This window comes from Homo sapiens, chromosome 1 (genome assembly GCF_000001405.40).
Source record: "Homo sapiens chromosome 1, GRCh38.p14 Primary Assembly".
Classification (NCBI taxonomy): Eukaryota; Metazoa; Chordata; class Mammalia; order Primates; family Hominidae; genus Homo; species Homo sapiens.
The window spans coordinates 2,391,314-2,415,436 of NC_000001.11; the positions used below are offsets into that span (position 1 = coordinate 2,391,314).

The window sequence follows — 24,123 nt, forward strand, 5'->3', positions numbered from 1 at the left end:
ACGCGGGGGCGGCCCTGGCTCCGCCGCGGCACCTGGACCTCTACTTTCCGAGGTGAGCATTTGGGGGTCGAGGGCGTAGAGCGATCGCACCCTGAATGGAGCCCAGGGCAGCCAGCGACCTGTCCCGTGGCCCGCAGTCGTTACCGTTCCGGGGCGGCCGCCTAGGCGGGTCCCGACGCGGCCCGCGGGAGCTCGGGGTGCCCTCGCCCGCCGCTGCCATCTTGCCGCCGAGGGTTCTCTTAGCGACCAGCAACGCCCGCTTCCATTGGTCTTTGTCGCAAGGGGGGGTGTGGCCACGGGCCTAGTCCCTGAGCCCGCGCAATCTCTGGAGCGAAGCTAGCCGGGCCCGGAGCCAGAGGACGCAGCTGCGCCTGTGCGCGTTTCCGCCGCTGTCGTCTCTTCCGCCGGGAGGCCCGCCCGCCAACGGCCTGCGCGTCTGCGCCGGAAGCGGAAATGGTTGGAGCCCTTGGCCCCGCCCTCGCGCCATCTTGGGGGCCCTGGAGGCGGCGCCGCGGAGGACGGAGCGGAAGTGCTCGCTGCAGCTTCCCGGAGCCGGAGCGCAGCGCCTGCGGCCGCCCGTGCCCCGCCGTCCTCCTTCCCGCGGCCGTGAGGGAGACCGCGGCTCGGCCGTAGCGGAGCTGCGAGGTGCCAGGAAGGGCTGCGTGGCGCGGGAACGGCCGGGCAGCGCCGCCTCCGCTTCTTCCGGGCTGTCAAGGCCGCGGGCGGGCGGGGCCGCGCTGAGGGCCGGGCGGGGAGGGCCGTCGGGGCCCGGGTGGCCGCGGGGACCGTGTTCCCGACCCGCGGCCCTGAGGGGTACGGGTCGCGCCTCGGGGTCGGGCCCGGGACGGGGTGCTGGGGGGTGCGGCGGAGCCCTGGGGCCTGCGAGGGTCGGGGGAGCGGGAGAGGGGCCGGGCGGGGGCTGCAGCCCTCGAGCCACCCGGGCCGCATCTCGTCCGCATCCCCTGCTTGGCATCTGGGGGAAGCGGGCAGTCGCGGCCCCCACAGCGCTGCGAGTTGGGCTGTATTCCAGAGTAATGTGCCCTGTCCCCATCCTGCGTCCAGGTCAGCGCTTATCTGTAGGATTTAGTGTTAAGCTCTGGGGTGAAGGCGTTACTGACGGGCTGAAGGGAAACTAGTTACATCGGTTTTGATCGTATTCTAAATAGGCAATAAAATCATAAATTCTCCAGGCTGACTTAGTACTGGTCTGTGGCCCCACTGATAAAGGTATCGTTCGTTTCTCTGCCAGGTGTCTCACAGCACAGAGGGCTGCTTTCAGCCTAAGTACCTTCAGTGGGCTTTTGCCCTTTTCCCTTTATGAAGAGTAGAGACTGGCCGCTAGTCCTGGAAGCACTTTATTTTTAGTTGAGTTGACATTTCCCAGGAAGATGCAGTTATCCCCGTAAGTGGATAAAGGGTTCTCAGTAATTCAGACTCTCACATGGCTTCTGCCGTATGCCTGAGGTGACGGCGACGGCGGTAACAGTGTGTCAGAGCCAGGTGGAGATATAAGATGGTCAGGCCCAGAGGAGCGGGGAGCCCAGGCTGGAATGTGGCCTTGGGAAGGAGGAAGAGACGGGGTCTGGGAGGGCATTTCAGAGGACTGAACAACACCAGAGGCGTGAAGCTTGGTGCACGGCAGCCGGGGGCTTTCTTAGTCCCGGAGGAATTGGGGATGGGGACGTGAAGAGAAAGGTGGGAGCCAGACTGTCAATGCTCCCGGACGCCAGGCAGAGGACTTCATCCTTTCCACGTGCAGAGTGATGGACCACAGATGTGGATGAATGTGACGGGCCTGGAACAAGGCACATAGAGAGTCTTACACTTTCTGGCACGTCCTCATGGTCTCTGCTTGGACTGGTTTTATCTCCCTTTCTGTTTTGTTTGTGACCAGGCATAAAGCAGTCACCTTCAACAGGTAATTGATGGGCTGTCTACTATGTAATGGACTTCCAGGTGGCAGGGCCCAGCCCCGAACCAGACAAGGGACCCCTCAAGGAGCTTCATTCTAGCAGGAGAAAATTGAGAAGTAAACCAGAAAGGTATCAGGAAACAGTTGTACACAAAATAAAAATAGGGTGATGTGATGTAAGGGACTGGGGGTCAGTGTGGGCGGTAACGGAGGCCTGTGAAGAGGAGGTGGGCTTCAAACTGAGCAGAGAAGAGGACTGCAGAGGGGGCAGCTGGTGTGAGGGCTGGCCCTGATCCAGGAACAGGGCTGGCACTGCCTTGCCCGGCTCCAAGGGTGCTCCACGGGCTGCCCACTGATTCCTCACGAGAGCCTTGTGGAGAAGGCATGAGAGGTGCTGTTGTCCCATTTCACAGACTGGAACCTGAGGCATCCTGGAATAGCCTGTCCTAGTCACACTGGCAGAGAGTGGTAGAGCCAGGATCTGAAAGCAGGCTGTTGGAGTCCAAAGTTCACGTTCTTGCTCCTGCCGCCCTGCCTCAGGCTATTCCTGGCAATGCGTTCAGTCAGGGTGCAAGCTGTGTTTGGTATACGTGTGTGTTTGGTATACGTGTTGTGTGTGTCAGACAAGCAGGATTGGCTGATGGCGTTTTGAGTAGGTTTTCTACATGTTCAGTTGGAGAGTGAGAAGTTCTGAGCTTTGCCTAGAGAACACCCTTTGGCGGGAGAGCTGGGTATTTTCTCCCTGACATTACTCTCATCACCTCCAGTCCAGTAAAAGTGCTTTAATGGGAAACAGTCTGAGTAAAACGGGGAAACTTACAAGGAGCTATAGGACGAACAATGTGACGGGTGGCTTTCAGATGGCCTGGCTTTGGCCTAAATAGGGTGGCCATTCCAGGTGACACATTTTAGTGTAGCCTCTATTTAAATATGGAGTTCTTTCAGTGGAGAGTAAAGGTGCTCCTCCTCTGTGTCTGGTTTACACGGCTCCGCGAGACCAAAGGGCCCCTCGGTCTCCTTGAGCAGCCTGGCACTCTGCACAGAGGATCCAGGAACGGTGTCATGGAGCCACATTCTGCACAGACTTGATGATGTGGAGGGAGCTGCCTGGATCACTTCAGCGCATCAGTTGTGATGGGAGAGCCAAGGCACTTGAGGGCGGGATTGCGTCTGGCCACCTGTTGCCTTCCACCTGAAGGGAAGATTTCCCCAGTGCTCACAGTGAGGATGGGACTGGAAAAGCGTTGGTTTCAGGAAGGTGCAGGTTCTGGCTCCTGCCCACTGCGAACATGCTGATGGGCCAGGGCAACTCTTTAGTCTTTGTGAGCTTCAGTTTTCTTATCTGTAAATGAGAACAATAAGACTGACCCCAACTGTTGCTGAGGAATGATGTCTTTGCTTTCATGTCTGGTATTTCTTAGAGCCTCATTTTACAGATGAGGAAACTGAGGCTGGCTGCGTGCTCAGAGGGTTTGCTGAAGGCCTCACAGCCGCTTAGCACAGGTGGGACTTTAAGCCAAACTTGAGACCAGAGTCTGTTTCTCCTCACTGCCCTGCCGAGGGAGCAGATGGGGGGTGGTGGGGGAGGTGAACGTCACCCCTGGCGTCTTCTCTAGCTCAGGGGCCAGGAGGCCTCTCATCTTTAAAGTAGGAATGACAACCGGCAGGCCCTGGGTACTGAGCTGTGCTTTACCGAAGAGCGGCAGGTCCTGACGCCGTCTCCTCTCAGGAGTGGGGTGGCGGCGTGCTCAGCTGAGGAGCCAGGTGGCAGTCAGGCTTGGCTTGGCCTGCCCAGAAGCAGGGCTGTGGCAGGACCTTGGACACGTGGCTTCCACTGTTTGAGACTTGGTGAAATGGGGGTCATGATGCCCTTCACTTGAGCATCTGGGAATTAAGTGGGTGAACAATGTGACCTCTGGCACCTGGGTTCTCAGGTGAATTCCTCATGGCATCACAGCAGTGTTGAAATAGGAGCAGATACGTTACCTCCGCTTGCCAGATAAGAAACTGGGACGCAGATGGATGGACTACCTGAGAGTTGTAGATAACATTTTCCTGTTCATGGGGTGGAGGACCTGGCCCTGAGAGGACAGGATCCCTCCTGCTCCTGCCAGACCAGAGACCCAGGACAGGGCGTGGAGCAGACAAGGTGCCTGGGCGGGGGAACCCTGAGGGATCCACAGAGGGTGCGGTCCTTGGAGGGAGGACATGCAGTGCCACGTGCCATGGACCAGCCAGTGGACCCCATGGCCAGCAAGGCTGCTCCTGGGGCCAGTGGGGTGGACAGTCCCGCCCACGCAGGTGACTGAGGTGCCAGTGTGGGAATGAAAATGCGGCCTGTGCTCCTGGGCCCATGCGTCTCACGCTGCCCTTCCTCTCCAGGGAAGCCTGTGTACCTGCTACTTTTTCCCGAACAATTCATGGTAAAAACACAAATGGTATATGGACAAAATACTGAATGTGGAAGAAACCTACTTGACAGTGTTGGTGAAAATAGGGCCAGGATTTCACACCCGTGAATGCTTTTTACTGAAAAGTATTTTGTGTTTTTCTCCCAGTTACAGAATGTCTGAAGGGGACAGTGTGGGAGAATCCGTCCATGGGAAACCTTCGGTGGTGTACAGATTTTTCACAAGACTTGGACAGGTTGGTGGGTTTTTTAGTAGATGAGTATAAATATTTGAAAAAGAAACGGGACTCCCAGCATTTTCGGGAAGGATCTGTTTGCTGGTGTTCCTGATGGAGAAGTTACTTCGCCTCAGGCTCAAACTTCCTGAAGACAGCGTTCTCTTCACTGTGAAGGGCCAGCTGTGGAGAGATCGGGCTCTGGGGCCACACGTGGTCTATCAAACATATGCGTTTTCTGTTTCTGTTTTCCTTTTACCAAGCTTTAAAAATATAAAACCCAGTCTCAGCTCCCAGGCAGGACAGATGCGGCCGTGGCTGCCGTTCTGCTCTTGCTGTCCCTCTCCCAGCCACCCACGTCCCCGGTGCTGGTAGCCCCACCTGCCCCGTGTCAGCTCGGCGGTTCTGTCCTTGAGGGTGAGAGGCTCTTGTGTGGGCTGCGTGTGCATTGCTTGGTGAGTGAGGGACCTAGAGCTGCCTTTGAACGCTGGAGTCCGAACCTCTGTCAGGAAAAGCTTGGGTCACCGGCAGTTCCAGGTGCTGAGGATCCGGCTCAAATAAAAATTCATCACCTTAATTAAATCACATATGAAAAGCGATTGGCGATTAATGAAGTTGGGTGACAGGCATATGTAAGCTTCTATAATCTTTTTACTTTTGTGAATTTGGAAATTTCTCACAATTTGAAAATTAAATTTCTAAATTAAAATAAAAAACCATACATATGTATATTTGTAAAAATAAATACATAAAACTAAGGGCTCCTTCGGTCATGTCCACAGCCGCCTGGACGCACACACATGTGGGTGTGGCTGCTGGGGCTCAGGCTGTGGCCAGTGGGCCTGGGAGCGGGGCAAGGCTGGCTGCTGGCTGCTGCAGATGGGGGAGCTGACTTGAGATGTGACGATAAGGGCTGTGCTGTAGGGTGGGGACTTTGAGATGCACAGTCCTCTCTTTGGGGTGAGGCTGGGTCTTCCCCATAGTGATCCCTTGGGGCCAGCACAATGTCACAGTCTCCTAGGAGATTGTTTTGTAATAGTCTTGCTTAAGAGATGAACCTGCTTCAGGAATTATTGAAAATAAACTTTGGATTAATTGTAGTCACTTCTTTGTGCTGATACATAGATGATCTCTTGCTATTTTAACTCACTCTTTTAGCTGTTTTAAAAATTGAAAGCCAACCCTAGCAGAAGGTACATTTTGTGGCAGGGTCAGTACAGAAGTTACAGGACCTGCTTCATGCTTTTGGACTCTTGTCTTTCTAGATTTATCAGTCCTGGCTAGACAAGTCCACACCCTACACGGCTGTGCGATGGGTCGTGACACTGGGCCTGAGCTTTGTCTACATGATTCGAGTTTACCTGCTGCAGGTAGGTGTGGGCTGAAGTGACGAGACTTGGCTCTGTCCACGTTACCTGGGCGTGATGTTTGTGGGGATGTTGTTGATCCAGTCTGTCTTGCAGGAAGTGGTCTCTAGTAATCAATTTTCAGCTAAACGCCAAATGTCAGAAAGATCTCAGTGACTGTCTTTAACGAACAGGGTTGTTTATGATTCACCCGGAGTCGCCTCGCCAGGCTTCTCAGTATACCCAGGCCGTCCTGAGCCCAGCCTGGCCCTGCCCTGGGCACGTCCAGGCCTGGACAGTGGAGCCGCTGGTGTCCCTCCGACCCTGCTGCATGATGCTCAGGACAAGGTTGCGCTCTGTGGCTGCCTCATTCCTTGGGTGAAGAGTCCATGCCTTGGGTGTCATGAATGACTCGGCGTCCAAAGGGTTTATGTAGCTTTTCCTGAGCTCTCCCTTGTGTGAGGCCAAAGCACAGTGCAGGTTGAGACGCCGAGTCAAGTAAGAGAGACAGTGACCGAAGGGGGTCTTGAGGGTTTCCTTCGTGTGTTTTCGGGCACCCCTAGGTCAGGTGATGTCGTCTCAGACTTCACCTGGGTGCTCCTTTACTTGCTGGTAAACACGGGGTTTCTAGGAGCAAACCTGTAAGATGGGAATTCTTCGTCGGTCTTTAGAGGAGGTTACATAATCTTATGTGCAGAGCAGGGCATGTTGAAAGCCTTGTCTGGGCTATTTTCTCCTCTGGGGACTGTAGAAGATACTTCCTTGTTTAAAGCACACACCTTAATTTATTTATTTATTTTTGTTTTTAAATTGGAACTGGGTCCATTCTCTGATGGAAAGAATGACCTAGAAATCTTGAATCAGGGACTTCAGGCAGGAGCAGGGGGCGGGAAGAGTGCAGCACCCACAGGTCAGTTTTATTGCGTTCGAAACCAAGCTCGTGCCTCATTTGGCGTCTCTTCAGGTGTGGCCCTGCAGCCGAGGATGGACACACAGACATCAGTTAGCCCTCACATCCGGCGTTCAGCCGAGGATGGACACACAGACATCAGTTAGCCCTCACATCCGGCGTTCAGCCAGGGATGGACACACAGACATCAGTTAGCCCTCACATCTGGCGTTCAGCCGTCTGACTGGAAAAGCTTTTAGGCAGAAAGACTTCTTGTTTGTATAAGAAAGTTAAAGCATTTATATTTTTATTTATTGTTTTGAGATGGGGTCTCACTCTGTCGCCCAGGCTGGAGTGCAGTGGCCTGATCTTGGCTCACTGCAACCTCCACCTCCTGGGTTCAAGTGATTCTCTTACTTCAGCTTCCCGAGCAGCTGGGATCACAGGCATGTGCCACCATGCCTGGCTAATTTTTGTATTTTTAGTAGAGACGAGGTTTCACCATGTTGGCCAGGCTGGTCTTGAACTCCTGACCTCAGGTGATCCACCCGCCTTGGCCTCCCAAAGTGCTGGGATTGCAGGCGTGAGCCACCACACCCGACAGAAATTTAAGGCTTTTGAAATTGAGAATGCGGTTCTGGCTTTTAACGGGATATGCTTAATCATTTTAAAAAATGAATTAGTTGCAAATAAGTGTGCTGCACTCAGGCATCTTGCCAAAATTCTCCCCACTTTTCATCTCTTGAGGAAGGCTTGGCATAAGCACACTTTTCTGGATTTCCCAGTTGTGGATTTCTTCTGGGCAAAGGTTTAACCCTCCTGGCAGAGTGTTTTTGGCAATGTGAATTGTCTGTTGGAGGAACATCAGCCAGCACGCCTCCAGTCACAGTTGAGAGTCTGTCTTCTGTTTCTGATGAAGCTGCTCCTGGGTGGGGCTCTGGGCCAGCATCGCTCAGGTGCCCGGGCCACCCGAGCCTGTGGTGTAGCTTGAGCATGTGCTTCTTGAGAAAAGCCTCCTTTTCTGCTGCGCTCCTTGTGGGGCGTCTGTGGCTTCAGGGATCACATGTGTCTAACTGGACCCTTGAAGAGCTTTGCTCATTTGGGCCCTTGCTTGTCCGCTTTGTCTCTGTTCCCACAGAGTATAATTTGAGATAAATTGTTACCATGGGATTTCACTGTATTTCCTTGTCCTTGCTATGAGTAAGTTTTGTGTTAAAACAAAGTTAGATCAGTTAACAAAGTTGAGAGTGAACCGGAGTGCAAACGTGAACTGGCTCAGGCTGATGGACGGTCAGAGTGCACCACTGACTCTCTTTCCTTCTCTTTCAGGGTTGGTACATTGTGACCTATGCCTTGGGGATCTACCATCTAAATCTTTTCATAGCTTTTCTTTCTCCCAAAGTGGATCCTTCCTTAATGGAAGACTCAGGTAGGGTAGCGGCTGTGCACTGGGCTGTGTGGGCAGGTTGGGCCTTTCTTTTCTGATGGGATTGCCCAGTGTTCTCTGGAAACACCCGAGACTCTTCTCTTGGGGTTGAAATGTACTTGTAATGTTGGGTGATCAGGATATGTTTGTAGAATGACTCTTCAAACCCTCCTGACAGCCACGAAGTGGGTGTTCATTCTGTTTTCCCACTTTGCAGATGAGGAAACTGAGGCATACAGGGTTAGGTAACGTGTTCGAGGTCACATGGCACCACAGACAGTAGGGGTCTGAGGTGGACAGTCCGACTCCAGCCCCCGTCCCACCCCAGTCAGTGGTCCCTCTCAGAATCAGCGGAGGCAGCCATGACGAGGTTACCTTTTCCCGTAGCCAGAGGGTTCCACAGGCAGCTCACTGTGGTGCACAGAGACCGCCGGGACTCTAATGCCAGCATCGGGTCGGGTCAGGCTTTGGGCGGCCTTCTCTGGTTTCTGAGGAGCTGTGAGCTGAAGTGTTCCTGGTGCTTCGTGCTCCACTATTGGAAGACTTACGCAGCTCCTGGGCCTGCCTGGGCCAGGTAGGGGCCCTGAGTTCATGCCTGACTGGCCAGCCCCAGGCGAGGAACAAACAACTGCATTCCAGGACGTGGTGGCCATTGAGGGAAAACCCACACGCAGCTCCCTGCCAGGACCCTCCTCGTTCTGGGGGAACCTGCTGTCAGGGAGTAGGGTATGCTCTCACTGTGTGGCCAGAAGCCTGTGAGTCTTCTGTGTAGGATATGTGATGAAAAGATTGCTGGGAACACAGCCCCTCTCTGTTGTTGCTGTTTGGAGGAGACTAGAAAATAACAAAGAGCCCCTTTCCTGTAGGCCTCAGTTTTCCCATCTGTAAATGGGGAGCGGCACCCATCCCAGTGGGGGAGGCGGGGTGAGAGTGGGCTTGGCACAGCTGCTGGTGGGACAGGCCTGGCGCCCGGGTTCCACGGTCAGCGCATCCTCGGCCCCGCCCTGTTCTCTGCCGCTTGCTTTTTATGTTAATTTGCCTTTGTTTTCTTCTGTGCCTTTACGTGGTGCAGCTGACGTGTTCCTGGATGTTTATATGTGGTTGAATTCTTCGTGCATTGAAAACGTGTGGAAGTCTAAAAACATTCTGATAGCACCTTCTGAAAGCAGTGAATTGGATGTGTCAGTTGACCACAGACCCCCGTTTTCTCGTTTTCTCTGGTTAAATGACATGAATCTCGGTTTAGATTTGTGAGGCCTGCTAGTCCAAAGCCTTGAGGGGAAAAGGTAGAACTGTGATGGGAATGAAAAGAGGTGCCCTCCCTGATGGTTGCTCTGCCTTACAGATGACGGTCCTTCGCTACCCACCAAACAGAACGAGGAATTCCGCCCCTTCATTCGAAGGCTCCCAGAGTTTAAATTTTGGTGAGCTAATTCTTCACGGTATTTGAAGAGAATTGTGCTCAAGGGTGGCTGAGACTGAGACTACACTGATTTTTGTTCAAGTCACCTGAAAGATGACTGCTGTGCTGGGCTGGGCACGGGGAATCGCAGGGGCTCTCTGTAGAAGGCCACTCACTACCTTGCCGCATTCTCTTGGTTTCAAGTCAGCACCAGTGCCCTGGAGGTTGAGTCTGGGATGGAGTGCGCACCGGCTTCTGTGGTTGTGGCCTGGGGAGGGCAGGCCCTCTGTCCTCCCTCCTCCTCCCTCCTCCTCCCTTCCTCCCTCCTTCCTCCCTCCTTCCTCCCTCCTCCACCCTCCCTCCTCCCTCCTCCTTCCTCCCTCCTTCCTGCCGCCTCCTCCCTCCTTCCTGCCTCCTCCTCCCTCCTTCTCCCTCCTTCCTCCCTCCTCCTCCCTCCTTCCTCCCTCCTCCTCCCTCCTCCTCCCTCCTCCTCCCTCCTTCCTCCTTCCTCTCTCCCATCCCCAGCCTTGTGGCTCCTTTTGGCTGGCAGAGGGACTAGCCTTCTCCTGGAGTCATTTTTGAGAGGGGTTTGAGCCGAGGTGTCCGTGTCTGCACGGGTAGGCAGAGGTGGGTGGTGCAGCCGTCAGAGGGACGGGAGCGTGTGCATCCGTTTGTCTTGTCCCTCATACCCCACTCTGGGAGCACAGGAGGAACCCAAGTCTGTTAGATCAGTAAACTGAAGGAGCCTGCTGAGCTCGTGGGGCTCCACGCCTTGACTTTGCAGCCGCAGATGGAGTGTGGTACAGAAAGATCAGGGGCCCTGGAAGCCACCAGAAGCTTGGACTAGGAAGGGAGAGCTGAGCCTCCAGGGCCGTGGCATCTGTTGGCCATGTGCTGGGACGGGAGGGAGCACTGGTGGCCATGCCACAGTGACAAGGTGAAGGCCCTGGATGGTCCACAAGACACAGCCTGGGTTTCTCTCCAGATCGCAGGCCCAGCCAGCAGGCATGGGGCCCCCAGCCTCAGTACTGATGCTTTATACTTTGTGTAGTTTTAAGAAGAATTGTGTCTTTCAAGGGAGTAAGAGAAGGATGTTTCTGTGGTTAGGGCAGTACATGTCTGTGAGCTACATGCAAAGGGTCCTGCTGCTGCTGTGCCCAGGGTAGACCCCTCCTTTCCACAGGGATGCTTCTGTTTGCGGGGACGGTCGGTGCAGCTGCAAGGCTGGAGGCGGCCGGCAGGTGCCCGGTGCTGGCTGCAGATGCGGCGCTAACCTTCTCTCCCCACTTGAAGGCATGCGGCTACCAAGGGCATCCTTGTGGCTATGGTCTGTACTTTCTTCGACGCTTTCAACGTCCCGGTGTTCTGGCCGATTCTGGTGATGTACTTCATCATGCTCTTCTGTATCACGATGAAGAGGCAAATCAAGGTAAAGCAGAGGCGCTGCCGCCACGCCGGCCGCAATCGCTGTTCTGTTACCCGCAGCATTGGGGGAGCTGTGCTGGGCTGTGGTGGGTGGTGGCAGAGTCTGCCTGGTGTGAATGTGGAGCTAAGTGGCACCGTCTTGTGTGTGACGAGGACACTGCTCCGTTCCCAGCACGGCCGGCTAACTAAACGGGGAGCGCAGCTGTGGGAGCGGGCGGGCTCTTGGTGGAAACTTTGTGGAAGCCGGGTGGGAGAGCCCCGGCGAGTGCAGTGTCCCGGTGGCTCCTCTTAGGGTGCCCAGTGCCCCGCGCCAGCCTGCCCGAGGAGGAGGGTGTTAGGGGGAAGTTAGCCGAGACTGCGGACTGTGCCCTTGACGGTGTGGCCTTCGTGCTGCGGGCCTCACTCTGTGCCCGGGGTGTTGGCTGCAGAGAGGGCCCTGGGCCACCTCACATCCCCCTTGCCCTTCCTCCACGGGAGGCTCACGAAGCACTGGGATTGATGGGGTTTCAAACCTAGGCCTCGTGGGCTGTGGAAGGTCTTGCTGTGTTGATGTGGGCGCAGGAAGCCACTGGGGCTCCGATTCCACTTGTCTGATGTATAGAAAAGATGGGGGACCTTTGGCCGCTCAGATTTGGGGACAGTGTGACTGACTGGAGAGCGGTTGTGCAGTAACTGAGTCTGTGTTTCTCTCCCCAGCACATGATTAAGTACCGGTACATCCCGTTCACACATGGGAAGAGAAGGTACAGAGGCAAGGAGGATGCCGGCAAGGCCTTCGCCAGCTAGAAGCGGGACTGAGGCTGCCTCACGTGTTGCAAGAACAGTTTTGAGCCATTGTTAACAATGCCTTTTTTCTTCACATAAAGTAGTTGATTACGAGGGAGTCAAATTTTCTTTTTAAAAAGGAGCTTCAATGATTTGTAACTGAAATATCAGGTTCTAGAAGAAACTGGCGCTTAAACCAAATCGCATGGATTTCTTTTTCAGTGACGTTCAAGTGTTTCTCACGGATGGAATTCTAGTCAGCTGCAGGCGGGAAGCCAGGCGGGTGGAGCCCATGGGAGCAAGGGCGAGTGGCCGGTCCCCGCTGTGCCAGGTGGGCAGGCAGGAGCAAGGCCTGCGAGGGAGGAACGGGCCGCTCCCCGCCAGCCGCCTTCCCCAGCAGCCGCAGGTGGTGCCAGCCACTCCACAGAGCCCGAGGGATGATCTAGCCTGATTCCTGCGTGTCCGAAAGAACTTAACGTTTTAAAGGTGATTGTCAAGTAACTGTGTGGGGTTCTAATGCCAGTTTCCTAATTCCATCTCACTGGAGATGTTTAAAGTTGGCCTCTATCCTAATGACTCAAAACTTGGTTCTTAACTACCATGATTGCTTTTGAGGGCCCGGAATTATAAATATATATTATATTTTAATTGTTTGAGATTATTTTGACACATTTCTTTGATACGTAGAGTGTTTTGTTTTTAATTTAAATCTGTCCTCATGCAACCCTCCATGAGGGGCAGCGAAGCTGGCAGGGAGCAGACTGGCTTTGTAGGTTCAGCACTCGGCCCCCCACTGCGGGAGAGGCGGAACCCACTTGCATGTCAGCGTTTTTGATTCGAGAAAAGAAATACTCTCAACGTTTTACCAAGTGATTTTACCTCCACCTTTACTAAAGTCTTTACCTAAAACATGGCAGTCGCTGGACACAGGAAAGCCCACCTTTTGTTTGGCCTTTTCGAAAGGTGACCCATATTGCACAGCAGAACATCACAGCTGTGGTCCCAGATGAGACACTGACATGCGAGTGAAGGCCTCTCCTCCTGGGCCCCGGGCTGCGCAGGCTCCTCACTCTGGGCGGTGTTTCCTGTCTCAGAATTGACACGGTGAATGCTTAGTGTCTGGATTTTCTTGTACCAGTGTTTACATATCTGACATCGAGCTCCTCTAAGAGGCCACGTTCAAGCTTGTGTGTCCCTGACCCAAGATAGCCAGTGCTGCTCCCAGGTGGTACTTCTGGTACCGTGTTGAGACACTTGGGATTCTCAGACTGTGGACAGGAGTGTTTGTCATTTTTCATACTGTTTTCTTAATAAGCGCTCAGGCCTAAGGTGTGACAGGAAGTCGCACGCGCTTGGCCAGAGCACAGTGAAGCAAAGGACTGGGTGCTGATGGATGGAGCCACGGCGGCATCTGCCCACCCGGCCGCAGCCCCCAGTGCCTCTCCTGGTGGTCCTCCCAGTCTAGAGGGTCACGGCCCCCCCGCCCTCCTCCGTCTCTGGCAAGCTGACCTTGACTAACCCAGGAATACAGGGTCATCCTCATTCCTAAGTAAGTCAAACAGCAAGACATGGTTTGCGCGGGTCTTTGCCGGAAGCCGGTCCTGCTGGCCAGGTGTTTTACGTCAGCAGGGAAATGTGGCACACGCCCTCGAGGCATTTTAACACTGCGCTTCAGGAAATCTCAAGTTCCATCTTGTGTTAGTAACGTACCCACATTTTGCTGGAGTTAGTTTATTAAAGATGCCTACGGTGAACTCTCTGGCGCAGGTTAAATGCAGTTTTGAAAACCTGGAAACATCAAATGGAGGCGGGAAATAGGCTGGGGCCGAGCTGAGGGGCTGAACACAGCAGTGACCGTGGGTCAGCAGGTCGCCTGCCCAGCAGGCCCCCCAGGAGAGGGCTCGGGCGCCCCTGGCAGCCCCCATACCCCCAGGACCTGGCTCGTGAGTGCGTCTGGGTCAGGAAGAGACCTCTCTGTGCGTCTCAGGCTGAGATGCAGATTTCTGTTTTCTAAAACTGGAAGCGACCTTGACGTGTATTGAAGGTGTGTGTGCCAAATGCTTCCGACGGAGGTGCTGGCCTTGGTTGGTTTCTCTCTGCCCCGTGTGGTCATCAAGTCCTGGGGGATGTGCTCTGCCCAGCCGCCCTCGGGGAGAGCAGCGCCGCCTCCCATGGGGCCGTGGGGCTGCTGTTCTCACTGCACTGGCTGAAGCAACCCGCCAGCCTCCGTGCCCCACCCCACCCAGCACGCACTCATTCAGTCCATTGCCTTAACACAAGCCTGATGGGGCTGTTTTCTCACAATATAAACGAATAAAGTGTCTTCTGGCCTACTTCTGAATTACTTCTCAACTGTATGGTTTGGGGAAGGGAGGGAAACCTAAAATCCCGTCCAAATAAGTGAAATTCCTGAAGAAGTGGCTGAGTCCTACCAGGTTGGGGTTAGGGAAATGTTCTGGGTTCAGGCGCCCCTCCCAGGGCTGAGAAAGCGCAGCCAGGGACAGCTTTCTGTTCTCTCCCAGGGTGGCTAGGTTAGTATCTTACATGACAAAAAACTGAGAGTGTTCTAACTTCTGTGCAAGCAAGGTTAATCCTGAGACTAAATCTTGGCGTTCAGACTCCCGTAGAGGTCATCTGTGTCCAGGCCCACCCGGGCGCCGGCTCAGCGGTAGTGCCGAAGGTAGATGAGCTTCTGGGGAGGGAACTTCTCCCGGCAGAGGGGACACTCCGCCTGCGGAGAGGAGAAAGGGGGTCACAGCAGCTGGGGCCACTGGGCCATGCCCATCCCCATCGGCATTTCTTTTCCTGTCCACATTCTCTGCACATGACACACAACATAAATGTTGTATTTCCTTCAACTAATGACCAAGAAAGCCAGCCTTTTTTCAGAAGGCCGAGTCCCAGTGGGGGCTGGGGCGGGGCTGGGGGCGTAGGGCTCAGGGTGTGGGGCTCGGCCGGGAGGTTCCCTCCTGCTCCCGCAGCTGACACAGCCCACGAAGCCCAGCTCCTGGGAAAGCGTGCGCTCTCACCCTGCCGGCATCTTCGGTGGGTGTGAGTCAGTGTGCTAGGGTTTTCAAGTGTGGTGAGGACCCCGGGAGGAAGGGTGTGCTGGGATGCGTGGTGCAAGCGTGGGGCCTTTCAGGGCTGGCCACTACCCCAACCTGCATTCGGCAAAGCCTCAATACACGTGAATTTGGAACTTTAACCCCCTCAACGAACCCACATCTGACCTACCTGGGAGCCTTTAAAAAGATGCCCACCTCTGTACCCTCAAAACTGGAGGGTGCTCAGAGCCAGACTCCCCACTTCTGCTGCAGCCAGGTGCATCTTGCCGGCACAGCCGCTGACCACCCCAGGACGGCAGCAGGCTCCCACCTCACCTTGCTGCTGCACCACGCGGTGATGCACTCCCAGCAGAACAGGTGGCCGCAGGGCGTGGCTGTTGGGTGCCTGCGCTCCTCCAGGCACAGGGTGCACAGGGGGTTTCTGGAAACGGCTCTCTCCTCCAAGGAGGCCCTGGGGAAGGTGGGGCAGAGCGTCAAGGTGGGTGCACCTTACAGGTCCTTGTGAAGTGCCCAGGACACCCCCAGCCCCCATGTGTGGCCCCCGCACGCACCTGCGGTGAGACAGGCCGCGGTGCAGCCTCCACTCCTTCCTGGCTCGCTGCCGCTGCCTGAAACCGTACAGCTGCAGCCCCATGGACAGCACCAGGTGCAGCAGTGAGATGACCCCCAGCAGCCTGTAGCTAACACGGGCCCTCAGGTCCTCTCCGGGCAGGCTGCGGACACGGAGCTGTAAGGCAGATGGCGCCACACTCATCAGGACCCTGAGGGGATCTGGCCTCAGCGCCTGCTGGGAGGGTCACACGTTCAGTTGGCACAGAGCACGTTAGAACCAGGCCTCTCACTGGCATGGGGAGTGCCCGGCAGAAACGATCAAGCCAGGGGGCAGGTTCAGGGAGTCTGAGGTGCCTGCTTCGTAGCCTAGCATGACGGAGAGGCCTGAGCTCCAGACCAGCCTTGGCATTACCAGTGCAGAAAGAGTCTTAGCTATGAGGCTGGCAGAGCAGGTGAGGATGTGGGGATGTCCAGGGACCACCTCTCAGAAAAGGAGGCGGGGAGCGGAAATGTGGGGCTGCAGACGCTGCCCACCAGCTACCCTGCTACAGGGACCGAAGCCCCAGTGTAACAAGGCACGTGGCCCCAGGGACACTGCTGCCACCCTCCTGCTGGTGACACAGGTAGCTTCTGACCGTGCCACTGAAGGACAGCTGGCTGCCCTCGGCTTCCCGTGTCACTTTCCACTGGCTGGGAAATGGAGACAGCCAGACAGCCTCGGCCCAGGGCCGGGAACCACATACAGAGGTGGCAGGTCACACCGCCAGCATGGGCCCTGGGTGTCCAGCCACTTCCTGGCTGTCCTAGGAGAGAGGGAGCCTCCCATCTGGTTTGAGCCCCACTTCCATGCCCCTGTCACAGCAGCTCATCAAATCCCTCACCAACATGGACGGGGCAAGAAACCACATCAAATACGCAAGTGAGGCTGGGTACGCTGAGGACGAAGACCTGACCATTGGCTCTGCGACGAGGTCACGGTGGCCTCCTGTTTAGGGTGTGTGTGGAGGCGGGGTTGCCTGGCAAGTAGGGGCTGAGGGGACCAGTGCAGCTCTAGGGACAAAAGGAAGGGGGTTCCTCAGAGGGCTGTTCTGGAAGGAGCTCATGCAGTAGTGGCTCTGGTGGGCCAGGGACTAACGCTGTGGCAGGTGGACATGGTGGTGGGACCACGGGGGAGGCTTCGTTGCTGAATCTGGAAGCAGGGGCATCAGCTGGGGGTCAGGATAGGCAGAGGTGCCAACGGCTGTGGAGGGGAGAAGGTGGGAACGGCCGTCTGATGGGGCAGACTGCTGGGCCAGGCAGGGGCGAGGGGTGAGGGGCTGGGGCCGGGGCTGCAGTCCATGCTCCCACACTGTCTGGGAGAAGCTGTTTGTTCCCCACAGCAGTGACATAGGCAGTCACGGGCCCAGGTTCAGGGATCTGTGGTGAGGCGTGACCCGGGGCCCCCCGGTCAGTAAAGAGCTAAGCGCAGGGCCCGGTGTCCATGAGGGGCTGCAGCAGGAGTTCATTCTACACTTAGGGTCTGGACTTCCTTGGATCTTTCAGCCAAGTGTAATTAAACAAAATCTGCTTTTTTTCCAAGCAGAGGATTTGGGTTCCTGCCTTGACACAGATGCTGGATGTAGAACCCTGTTGGCTGAGAGGCCTGGAGGGCCAGCTCTGTGCATGCACCCAAGTCCAGTGGGGGTGACAAGGACGGCCTAAGCAGCTGTGCCCTCAGCGCCTGCTACTTACGTACGTGATCCCCGTGAGCCTCTTGGCCAGGTGGTAGAAGACACCGTGGATGTAAAACCAGGCAACATGTAGCCGCTGGAGGCAGGCGAGGCCCTGTCTGAGGACGAAGACCGCCCGCAGCAGCGCCCTCCTCTGCTGCTCAGTCAGGGTGGCCGTGTGGTGACGCATCCAGCGCCGCGCCCCTGAGCAGCCACGCCCACCTGGCCCCAGGCTCCCCTGCAAGGGTCGCCCACTGTCGGGGTCAGCCTGCAGCTCCTGCTCCAGGGGGAGCAGGGCCTTGTCCAGCAGGTAGGGCAGGACGGCATGCAGTGTCACCAGCACGCCACGGCGCAGCGAGGAGGGCACATGTATCCGCGATGGGTCCACCTGGATGATGCTGACGTACTCCTCCCCCAGGGTCTGGTAGCCTGCGAGGAAGAGGATGGGTATGTGGACCCTGAGACTGCTGCCGCGGGGACAGGCTCCCGGCGCCCCTGCCAGCCGACCCTCTGCTGGCTCCTGTCAACAGCCCCATCTTGTCGCCCTTGAGCCCACTGTCACCCCGTGCTGGCTGAGGCCAACATGACCTTCTGTCGCTAAGCCCACTGTGAGCTCAGGCAGCACATGACAGGCCCGGCCAATGGCTGCCCTTGGCTCCCAGGGCCTTGGCTGGCCAGTGTCCCTCCCTCTCTTGGCTTCTCCCCAAGAGTCTCTGCTCTTTCCCCTTTCTCCCTAGCTGTCCCCGCCACCTCCCCCAGCCCAAGCACTCGGATCCAGTCCCATGGCTCTCCACCAACCACACAGCTGGCACCACCCGATTTATGCCCAGCCTGGACCTTACTTGTGAGTGCCAGCCATGCAGGTCCGCCACCTACCTGACATCGCCATGTATGCTCAGATGAGCACCCCAATTCCACCCCTGCCGAGACAGCTTTCAGCGCCCCCACCCAGAAAAGCCTGCTCCCCGTTTCCATCTCTGTGGATGGCAACGCCAGGCCTCCGGTTCCTGAGGTCAAGCCCAAGGGGCACCCTGCATGCACCTTCCCTGTGTGTTCCACCCCCTCGCTGCCGCCCCTGCTCTGTACCACCACCATCCTGTGGGGGACTGTCACAGCCTCTGTAGTCTCCCTGAGCCCAACTTTGTCCCCTGAGGTCTGGTCTTAGCTAGTGGTCGGCCTCTCCCCTGCCCACGTCCCTGGAATGCCCCAAGCCTCGCACAGGGAAAGCTATGGGCTTACAAAACTCACGAGCCCCCCGGGGTCATTCTCCCAAACCGCCAAGGACGTGTTCTTCTCAGGGCCTTTCCCGGCTGCTTGCTCTGCCGGTCTGGAAAATGCTCTTCCCTAAGACGTGGTCTTTATCTCTGAGAGCCCCTCACTTCCCAAGATGCTCTGTGACGCAGCCACATCTGTCTCCCGCCCACCGAGCACACTCTCCATGGCGGCAGGATGCCCGGGGCGAGCCCCTCGTAGGGAACCAGGCTGGCACTCGGTGGTCCTTGCTACATGCTGAGCTGGGGTTGGGAGCCTGAGAGCTTCTGTCAACAACTCCCTCTAAAGGGTGGTGACCAGCCTGGGCCACAGACCCACCACTGCTCCACCAGGGCACTGTCACACGGGCACTGCACCCTATGACATGGCTCAGCACTGTGACTCACTGGTGCCACCAGGGCTGGCCACTGAGAAATGGGTCTCAGTGGCACCCGGGGTAAAGTCTTAAACAAAGAACCCCAGGGACACACAAAGGCTGGAAAAGTCGGCTCCCTGCTGGGAGCAGATGCCTCGCCTCCCTCGGAGCAGTACCTCCTGCACTTCCCTGAAGCAACCTCACCCGGGCCAGCTCCAGGAGCTTCTCACACTGCCTGGCAGCCCCCTGGCCACCGTCCCCAGACTTGGTGTGTGTGGCTGCCCTCAGTCCTGAGGTCCCGTGGGAGCTTCTACCTGCAAGTGTGGTGAGGCCAAAGTAGGCCACATCTGAGAGCAGCTCAACCTCCTTCCTCCACTCCAGCCACTTCCTCGCACCTGAGAGGAGAAACAGTATTAGTCCGGGGGAGCTGGTGGGCATCCTCTGAGGATGAGGGACCACAGTCCTCCCCCAGTTGTCTAGGCCCAGATCCAGTCCCACCCCTTCCATGAAGCCAACACTCACTCCCTGGCCTCCCTCTCTGCTTCTGTCTCCGGAGGCACCACCTTGACTTGCCTTAGCGTGAGCTGCAGACAGTCTGCGAAGAATCTCCCACCTGTGCTCATCTCTTGCTCCGGGATTCCCCTGAGCAACTGTTCTAGGGCCTATGAGGGCCACATGGAAAGATGGTCTGGGGTATTAAGATTACAGGCCAGAGGCCAACTGTCTAGCATCAAAAAGCAGCTCTCCAACTTGCTGGCTGTGAGGTCTTTCTGGAATCTCAATTTGCTCATCTATCAGAAGAGTAATAAGTCCTACTTGGAGGGATGTTTGAAGATTCAATATTTGTAAAACACTGGGAACAGTGTCTGGCACAGGGGTAAGTGCCAAGTGTACTGTAAAACAAGTAAGTACACACACAAAAAATTCTCATCATGTCACTCTCCTGTTCAGAATCCACCAATGGCTGCCCACCTGACACCCATGGGCCTCCCGGCACGGAGCCTGGCTGTCCTCTGATATTTACCCATGCTCTTCCTGTCCCATGGCACTGTTCCTTTGGCCACGACACCCCCACCACTGGGCTCTAGTGCCACTGCTCCCTGAAACGTTCTGCTGGGAGTTCATGCCTTTAACGACTGCCTGCCCCACCCCCCAAAGACTTGATGGCTTTGCCTTTTTTTTTTTTTTTTTTTTTTTGAGATGGAGTCTCACTCTGTTGCCCAGACTGGAGTGCAGTGGCACGATCTTGGCTTACTGCAACCTCCGCCTCCCGGGTTCAAGTGATTCTGTCTCAGCCTCCCAAGTAGCTGGGATTACACGCACGCGCCACCACGCCCTGCTGATTTTTGTATTTTTAGTAGAGACGGGGTTTCACCATGTTGTGTAGACTGGTCTCGAACTCCTGACCTCAAGTGATCCACCCGCCTCGGCCTCCCAAAGTGCTGGGATTACAGGCGTGAGCCACCACACCCGGCATCTTTTTTTTTTCGTTTTTTAATCGGTGATGGGGTCTGGCCCCGTCGCCCAGGCTGGAGTGCAGCGGCACAATCATGGCTCACTGCAGCCTCATCCCTCGGGCTCAGGCGATTCTCTTGCCTCAGCCTCCTGAAGAGCTGGGATTACAGACGCCGCCACCACGTCCGGCTAATTTTCAGATTTTTTGTAGAGACGGGGTCTTGCCATGTTGCCCAGGCTGGTTTCAAACTCCTGGGCTCAAGCGATCCTCCCGCCTCTGCCTCCCAAACTGCTGGGATGACAGGTGCTGCTTCATTGAGTACACTGGCTTCTGTACTCAGCTCCCGGCCTGGTGAGGCAGGCAGGGCCTGGCTGAGCCTACACTGGGGTCAGCAGGGCGAGGGGCCTGGGCTGCTGCTCAGGCCTAGGAAAGGCCGGGGTCAGTGTGAACCGGACCGAGGTATGAGGCGTTCGCGCCGCGGGCGCTCTGACCCCTCTGCTCACAGGGGAGGATCGGAGGGAGGCTTGAAGCACTTGCCAAGGCCTCACACCTGGAGGGGACAGAGTCTTCCCCAGCCGCTGGCGTCAGCTGGACCTGCCCTGAGCTGGGGACGGGAAGGGCTTGGGCGGGAACTGGAGGCCCACGCAGGTCCCCCGCGGTGTCTGCGGCCTGTGCCTCTGGGGCCACCTGGCCAGGGAGGGCAGGAGGTGCCCCGCACATCCCTGAATGGCCGCAGGGCAGGCGAAGGAGACTGCCGGGTCCCAGGTTGTGGGACGGGCCCAGGCGACCGTGACCACACACGGCAGACACCCCGCCTCCATGAGGGGCAACACCCCCTGGGCCGCTCGCGAGGACGTCCGGCCGCGCCCGGCCCTCACCCGCCAGGCTGTGCAGGGCGCCGCCCGCCGCGCTCCGCAGCCCACCGCGGTAGTACTCGTCCTTCTGCGCCGCGCGGATCACCTCCGGGGGGCTGGCGGCGGCCGGGGCCATGGCCGCGGGTTCGGGTGGTCCCGAGCAGCCACGCCGGCCACGCCCACGCCCAGACGGGCGAGAACTGATGACGGCACGACGTGGCTCTGCGTGCGGCGCAGACCTCTGCGTCAAGGTGCTGGGGCGGGGCCGGACTGGGGCTGGAGGCGGGGCCAGGGCCCGGGCGGAAGCGGGGCTGGAGTCCGAACCAGCGCAGCGCGGGGCGGGGCAGCGGGAAGGTAGTCGGAGGCGCAGGGCGGAGCGGAGCGGGGCGGGGCCCGCGAGCCGAGGTGGGGGCGGGGCACGCGCGAGGGGCGCTGGCGAGGCAGCGGGATGGGCTCGCGGCCGCGTGGTTGCTGCGACCTCGGGGTCCTACGCTGCCAGGGGCCCCTGCTCTGCTCCCTGCACGTCCACGGGCCGCCCTCCCACTGGGGACAGCGCTGCGGAGTGGAGACGCTGCAGGCCCATTTACGGCTGGGGAGACGGAGGCTTTCGCTTGGGTCTTCGGGAAGCCGAGCTCCCAGCGCCGGCCGCGGCGGTCCCGCCCTCGCGCCCTTTGAGCTGCGCGGGCTCTCAGCGCGGGTTGGCCAGTTCCGGGGAGCCGGTCGGTTTGGGGGCCAGAGGGGCACGAGGCGAGACCCGGGACCTTCCAGGCCCCGAGCAGCCGCCTTCCCCAGTAATCCTGCGCGAAAAGCACACGGCCGGCTTGGTGTGGACGCCCCCCTGGTGCCCACGGGAGGCAGGGCCTGGCGGGTGGGGGGCAGCCGGGAAGCCGCCGCGTGGTTCCAGGACGGGCGGAAGGTGGCCTTCCACCCTCCACCCTCCACCCTGCCTGGCCTGAGCCCCGCAGGTGCTCTGGGGAACCACATCGCAGGCGCTCCGATCCCTCTGCTCCCAGGGGACGAGCGGAGGGAGGCCTGAAGCACTTGCCAAGGCCGCACACCTGGAGGGGACAGAACCTTCCCCAGCCGCTGGCCACAGCTGGACCTGCCCTGAGCTGGGGGTGGGAAGGGCTGGGGCGGGAACTGGAGGCCCACGCAGGTCGCCTGCGGTGTCTGCGGCCTGTGCCTCTGGGGCCGCCTGGCCAGGGAGGGCAGGAGATGCCTGGTACATACCTGAATGGCTGCAGGGCAGGTGAAGGAGAAGGCCCTGTTTTTTGGCCCCAAGGGCAGCACTTGGCCCTGGAGAGTCCTGCAGGATTGCAGGAGGAAGGCAGGGCACGACAAGGGGGCGTCTGCGCCCCGCTGACCTCAGTGGGGAGGGCCTCCAGTTCCTTGCCTCACCTCTGGTTCCATCTACAGGAGCTCAGCTGTGGGATCATCCCCAGACTGGCACAGCCCAGTCACAAAGCCAGAGCCCCACACTGCAGGAATGGCCCCTCTTACAGGGAAGGGGCATGGCCTGGGTGGCCCCGCCCCGCAGGCCCTCTGGCTACCAAACCTCCCAGCGCCCCCGCGCCCCTTTGGAGTTCTGACCCCGCGGGTGCACCCGTGTCTCCTGGACACAGAGGCTGCCCTCTGATTGGGTTGAGCACCTTGGGCTGAACCCCTCATCCGTGGACCAGGCAACCCGGCATCGCCCACGTGGAGCCGCTGAGGTGATCATGTGTTCTGGTCAATGCTTAGATAACAGTTTGAGATGCCGCTCTGGCCCCTGGGTTCATGGCTCCACGTCTGATTCTGAGGAGGAGGCTTCGGCTCCTTTGGATTCACACTGGGTTCTATGATGGGCCCCTGACGGGAGGGCCTGCTCTAGGAGGCATCCCCCACCGCTGTCCTGGCTCAGGACTGCTTTCCCCACTCTTCTCATCTGCACCCTGGGCGACAAATCCCAGCCTCACAGTGGGAGGGGCCTGGGCAGGACCTGAAACAAAGTGTCCCAGTGTCTGCTGTTCCTGGGCAGGTGGGGCTTGGGGGTCCCCCACGGTTCAAGCCTTGGCTCTAGGCCTTGGCTGGGCCTTGTAATGGCACCCGCGACCCTCAGTTGCCTCACTCATTGGGGCTTCGAAGGCCTCTGGTGCCCCGAGGGTCCTTCCTGAGGGCGACTTGAATACGGCGGTCCTATCCTGGGATGGCCGGCAGGTGGCAGCGTCAGCCCGTCTGCTCTCCACCGGGCTCCCCGGTAGAGTTATAGGGGATTAGGCGGTGAGTTTTGCCCCAAAGGGAATCGAATCTAGATCAGAACCACTGGCGAAGTGGAGCGACCATCTGCCCGAAACAGCGGAGGGAAGGAAGCGCCTGGAGGGGGTCTCAGGGAGGTGGGGCGGGAGTCAGGTCTCCATGTCCTTCCTGGCTGACCAGGCAACCTGGGAGCTCTGGTTGGTTCCAGGGTTCTGGGGTGGGGCATGGGGGTCCTGCCAGGGGAGGGGGCGTTTGCCGCTTAGCACCCTTGCCTCCCTGTGGCAGCCTCCTCTTGAGCCCTTGGGACTTTTCACAAACTCTGTCCCTCTCTTCTTTGGGGATCGAGGTCAGGAAGGTGGAGGCTGTGGATTTTTCTTTTTTTTTTTTTTTTGAGACAGAGTCTCGCTTTGTCGCCCAGGCTGGAGTGCAGTGGCGGGATCTTGGCTCACTGCAAGCTCTGCCTCTGGGGTTCGCACCATTCTGTTGCCTCAGCCTCCTGAGTAGCTGGGACTACAGGCGCCCGCCACCACGCCTGGCTAATTTTTTGTATTTTTAGTAGAGACGGGGTTTCACCCTGTTAGCCAGGATGGTCTCGACCTCCTGACCTTGTGATCCACCTGCCTCAGCCTCCCAAAGTGCTGGGATTACAGGTGTGAGCCACCGTGCCTGGCCAAGGCTGTGGATTTTAGGGAGAGCAACCACAGGCATTGGGCAGAAGTGGCCAACAGGGCCCAGCCCCAGTCTTGGGTCTCTTGACAGCCATGTGCCTGGCCCCAGCAGGGGATCACCACAGCCTTTAAACCGAGCGTTATTCTTGTTGGCAGCGCCTTACATC

At 57.7% G+C, this 24,123-nt stretch overlaps 3 protein-coding genes across 12 annotated transcripts in view, besides 14 other annotated features; 1 reads left to right on the top strand and 2 right to left on the bottom strand.

The window, feature by feature from the left end:
* The window catches only part of MORN1 (MORN repeat containing 1), a 70,302-nt gene extending 70,061 nt beyond the window's left edge, over nt 1-241 (bottom strand). For all 3 annotated transcript variants that reach the window (NR_125361.2, NM_024848.3, NM_001301060.2), the window contains exon 1: nt 145-241. Coding sequence is in view for 2 of the 3 variants with exons in the window: in NM_024848.3 (NP_079124.1) it covers nt 145-220 (76 nt within the window). In the remaining variant the exon portion in view is untranslated. The remainder of the gene's footprint in view (nt 1-144) is intronic.
* Nucleotides 104-173: a silencer, noted in NCBI's record as "silent region_114". NCBI's record gives its function as "represses an Ori minimal core promoter by ATAC-STARR-seq in GM12878 lymphoblastoid cells {active_cell/tissue: GM12878}" and the evidence as "EXISTENCE:reporter gene assay evidence [ECO:0000049][PMID:35858748]".
* Nucleotides 237-531: an enhancer, noted in NCBI's record as "tiled region #13804; HepG2 Activating DNase unmatched - State 1:Tss, and K562 Activating DNase unmatched - State 1:Tss". NCBI's record gives its function as "activates a minimal TATA promoter and a strong SV40 promoter by Sharpr-MPRA in HepG2 and K562 cells {active_cell/tissue: HepG2 | K562}" and the evidence as "EXISTENCE:reporter gene assay evidence [ECO:0000049][PMID:27701403]".
* Nucleotides 237-1,272: a biological region, named in NCBI's record as "Sharpr-MPRA regulatory region 13804".
* Nucleotides 304-413: a silencer, noted in NCBI's record as "silent region_115". NCBI's record gives its function as "represses an Ori minimal core promoter by ATAC-STARR-seq in GM12878 lymphoblastoid cells {active_cell/tissue: GM12878}" and the evidence as "EXISTENCE:reporter gene assay evidence [ECO:0000049][PMID:35858748]".
* Nucleotides 400-1,272: an enhancer, noted in NCBI's record as "H3K27ac-H3K4me1 hESC enhancer chr1:2323152-2324024 (GRCh37/hg19 assembly coordinates)". NCBI's record gives its function as "activates a minimal SCP1, AML or CMV promoter by ChIP-STARR-seq in primed H9 embryonic stem cells {active_cell/tissue: H9 hESC(primed)}" and the evidence as "EXISTENCE:reporter gene assay evidence [ECO:0000049][PMID:30033119]".
* Nucleotides 514-813: a silencer, noted in NCBI's record as "silent region_116". NCBI's record gives its function as "represses an Ori minimal core promoter by ATAC-STARR-seq in GM12878 lymphoblastoid cells {active_cell/tissue: GM12878}" and the evidence as "EXISTENCE:reporter gene assay evidence [ECO:0000049][PMID:35858748]".
* On the top strand, nt 528-14,123 carry RER1 (retention in endoplasmic reticulum sorting receptor 1). The gene is made up of 7 exons (NM_007033.5): nt 528-645; nt 4,471-4,558; nt 5,803-5,907; nt 8,102-8,201; nt 9,544-9,622; nt 10,894-11,029; nt 11,722-14,123. The coding sequence occupies exons 2-7, from the start codon at nt 4,478-4,480 to the stop codon at nt 11,809-11,811; spliced, it is 591 nt and encodes a 196-aa protein (NP_008964.3). The 5' UTR covers nt 528-645; nt 4,471-4,477; the 3' UTR covers nt 11,812-14,123.
* On the bottom strand, nt 12,661-22,514 carry PEX10 (peroxisomal biogenesis factor 10). Of its 8 annotated transcripts, none has more exons than NR_164636.1 (6): nt 22,284-22,514; nt 19,058-19,138; nt 17,143-17,545; nt 15,407-15,582; nt 15,171-15,306; nt 12,661-14,521 (listed from the first exon to the last, which is right to left on the bottom strand). NR_164636.1 is itself a non-coding variant. In NM_001374427.1 (6 exons), the coding sequence occupies exons 3-6, from the start codon at nt 17,304-17,306 to the stop codon at nt 14,453-14,455; spliced, it is 549 nt and encodes a 182-aa protein (NP_001361356.1). In that variant the 5' UTR covers nt 17,307-17,545; nt 19,058-19,138; nt 22,284-22,514; the 3' UTR covers nt 12,661-14,452. The 8 variants fall into 8 exon arrangements, 7 of the variants coding, with proteins under 7 accessions (NP_001361356.1, NP_001361355.1, NP_002608.1 ...); NM_001374427.1 differs by having other exon boundaries at nt 17,139-17,545; NM_001374426.1 differs by having other exon boundaries at nt 15,407-15,639; nt 17,139-17,545.
* Nucleotides 17,369-17,869: an enhancer, noted in NCBI's record as "H3K4me1 hESC enhancer chr1:2340121-2340621 (GRCh37/hg19 assembly coordinates)". NCBI's record gives its function as "activates a minimal SCP1, AML or CMV promoter by ChIP-STARR-seq in naive H9 embryonic stem cells {active_cell/tissue: H9 hESC(naive)}" and the evidence as "EXISTENCE:reporter gene assay evidence [ECO:0000049][PMID:30033119]".
* Nucleotides 19,898-20,478: an enhancer, noted in NCBI's record as "H3K27ac-H3K4me1 hESC enhancer chr1:2342650-2343230 (GRCh37/hg19 assembly coordinates)". NCBI's record gives its function as "activates a minimal SCP1, AML or CMV promoter by ChIP-STARR-seq in primed H9 embryonic stem cells {active_cell/tissue: H9 hESC(primed)}" and the evidence as "EXISTENCE:reporter gene assay evidence [ECO:0000049][PMID:30033119]".
* Nucleotides 20,479-21,059: an enhancer, noted in NCBI's record as "H3K27ac-H3K4me1 hESC enhancer chr1:2343231-2343811 (GRCh37/hg19 assembly coordinates)". NCBI's record gives its function as "activates a minimal SCP1, AML or CMV promoter by ChIP-STARR-seq in primed H9 embryonic stem cells {active_cell/tissue: H9 hESC(primed)}" and the evidence as "EXISTENCE:reporter gene assay evidence [ECO:0000049][PMID:30033119]".
* Nucleotides 20,479-22,220: a biological region, named in NCBI's record as "H3K27ac-H3K4me1 hESC enhancers GRCh37_chr1:2343231-2343811 to GRCh37_chr1:2344393-2344972".
* Nucleotides 20,837-21,216: a silencer, noted in NCBI's record as "silent region_117". NCBI's record gives its function as "represses an Ori minimal core promoter by ATAC-STARR-seq in GM12878 lymphoblastoid cells {active_cell/tissue: GM12878}" and the evidence as "EXISTENCE:reporter gene assay evidence [ECO:0000049][PMID:35858748]".
* Nucleotides 21,060-21,640: an enhancer, noted in NCBI's record as "H3K27ac-H3K4me1 hESC enhancer chr1:2343812-2344392 (GRCh37/hg19 assembly coordinates)". NCBI's record gives its function as "activates a minimal SCP1, AML or CMV promoter by ChIP-STARR-seq in naive H9 embryonic stem cells {active_cell/tissue: H9 hESC(naive)}" and the evidence as "EXISTENCE:reporter gene assay evidence [ECO:0000049][PMID:30033119]".
* Nucleotides 21,377-21,976: a silencer, noted in NCBI's record as "silent region_118". NCBI's record gives its function as "represses an Ori minimal core promoter by ATAC-STARR-seq in GM12878 lymphoblastoid cells {active_cell/tissue: GM12878}" and the evidence as "EXISTENCE:reporter gene assay evidence [ECO:0000049][PMID:35858748]".
* Nucleotides 21,641-22,220: an enhancer, noted in NCBI's record as "H3K27ac-H3K4me1 hESC enhancer chr1:2344393-2344972 (GRCh37/hg19 assembly coordinates)". NCBI's record gives its function as "activates a minimal SCP1, AML or CMV promoter by ChIP-STARR-seq in naive H9 embryonic stem cells {active_cell/tissue: H9 hESC(naive)}" and the evidence as "EXISTENCE:reporter gene assay evidence [ECO:0000049][PMID:30033119]".

What these genes read in the sequence shown, in the direction of transcription:
- PEX10 (NM_153818.2), bottom strand. Translation starts at nt 21,189, where the DNA reads ATGGCCCCGGCCGCCGCCAGCCCCCCGGAGGTGATCCGCGCGGCGCAG. An exon ending in CGCGGCCTGTCTCACCGCAG is followed by an intron (nt 15,307 to 15,406) that starts GTGCGTGCGGGG and finishes CACCTTCCCCAG; the next exon opens with GGCCTCCTTGGAGGAGAGAG. An exon ending in CCGCGTGGTGCAGCAGCAAG is followed by an intron (nt 14,522 to 15,170) that starts GTGAGGTGGGAG and finishes TCCTCTCCGCAG; the next exon opens with GCGGAGTGTCCCCTCTGCCG.
- RER1 (NM_007033.5), top strand. Translation starts at nt 4,478, where the DNA reads ATGTCTGAAGGGGACAGTGTGGGAGAATCCGTCCATGGGAAACCTTCG. An exon ending in TTTTCACAAGACTTGGACAG is followed by an intron (nt 4,559 to 5,802) that starts GTTGGTGGGTTT and finishes TTGTCTTTCTAG; the next exon opens with ATTTATCAGTCCTGGCTAGA. An exon ending in TTCGAGTTTACCTGCTGCAG is followed by an intron (nt 5,908 to 8,101) that starts GTAGGTGTGGGC and finishes CTTCTCTTTCAG; the next exon opens with GGTTGGTACATTGTGACCTA.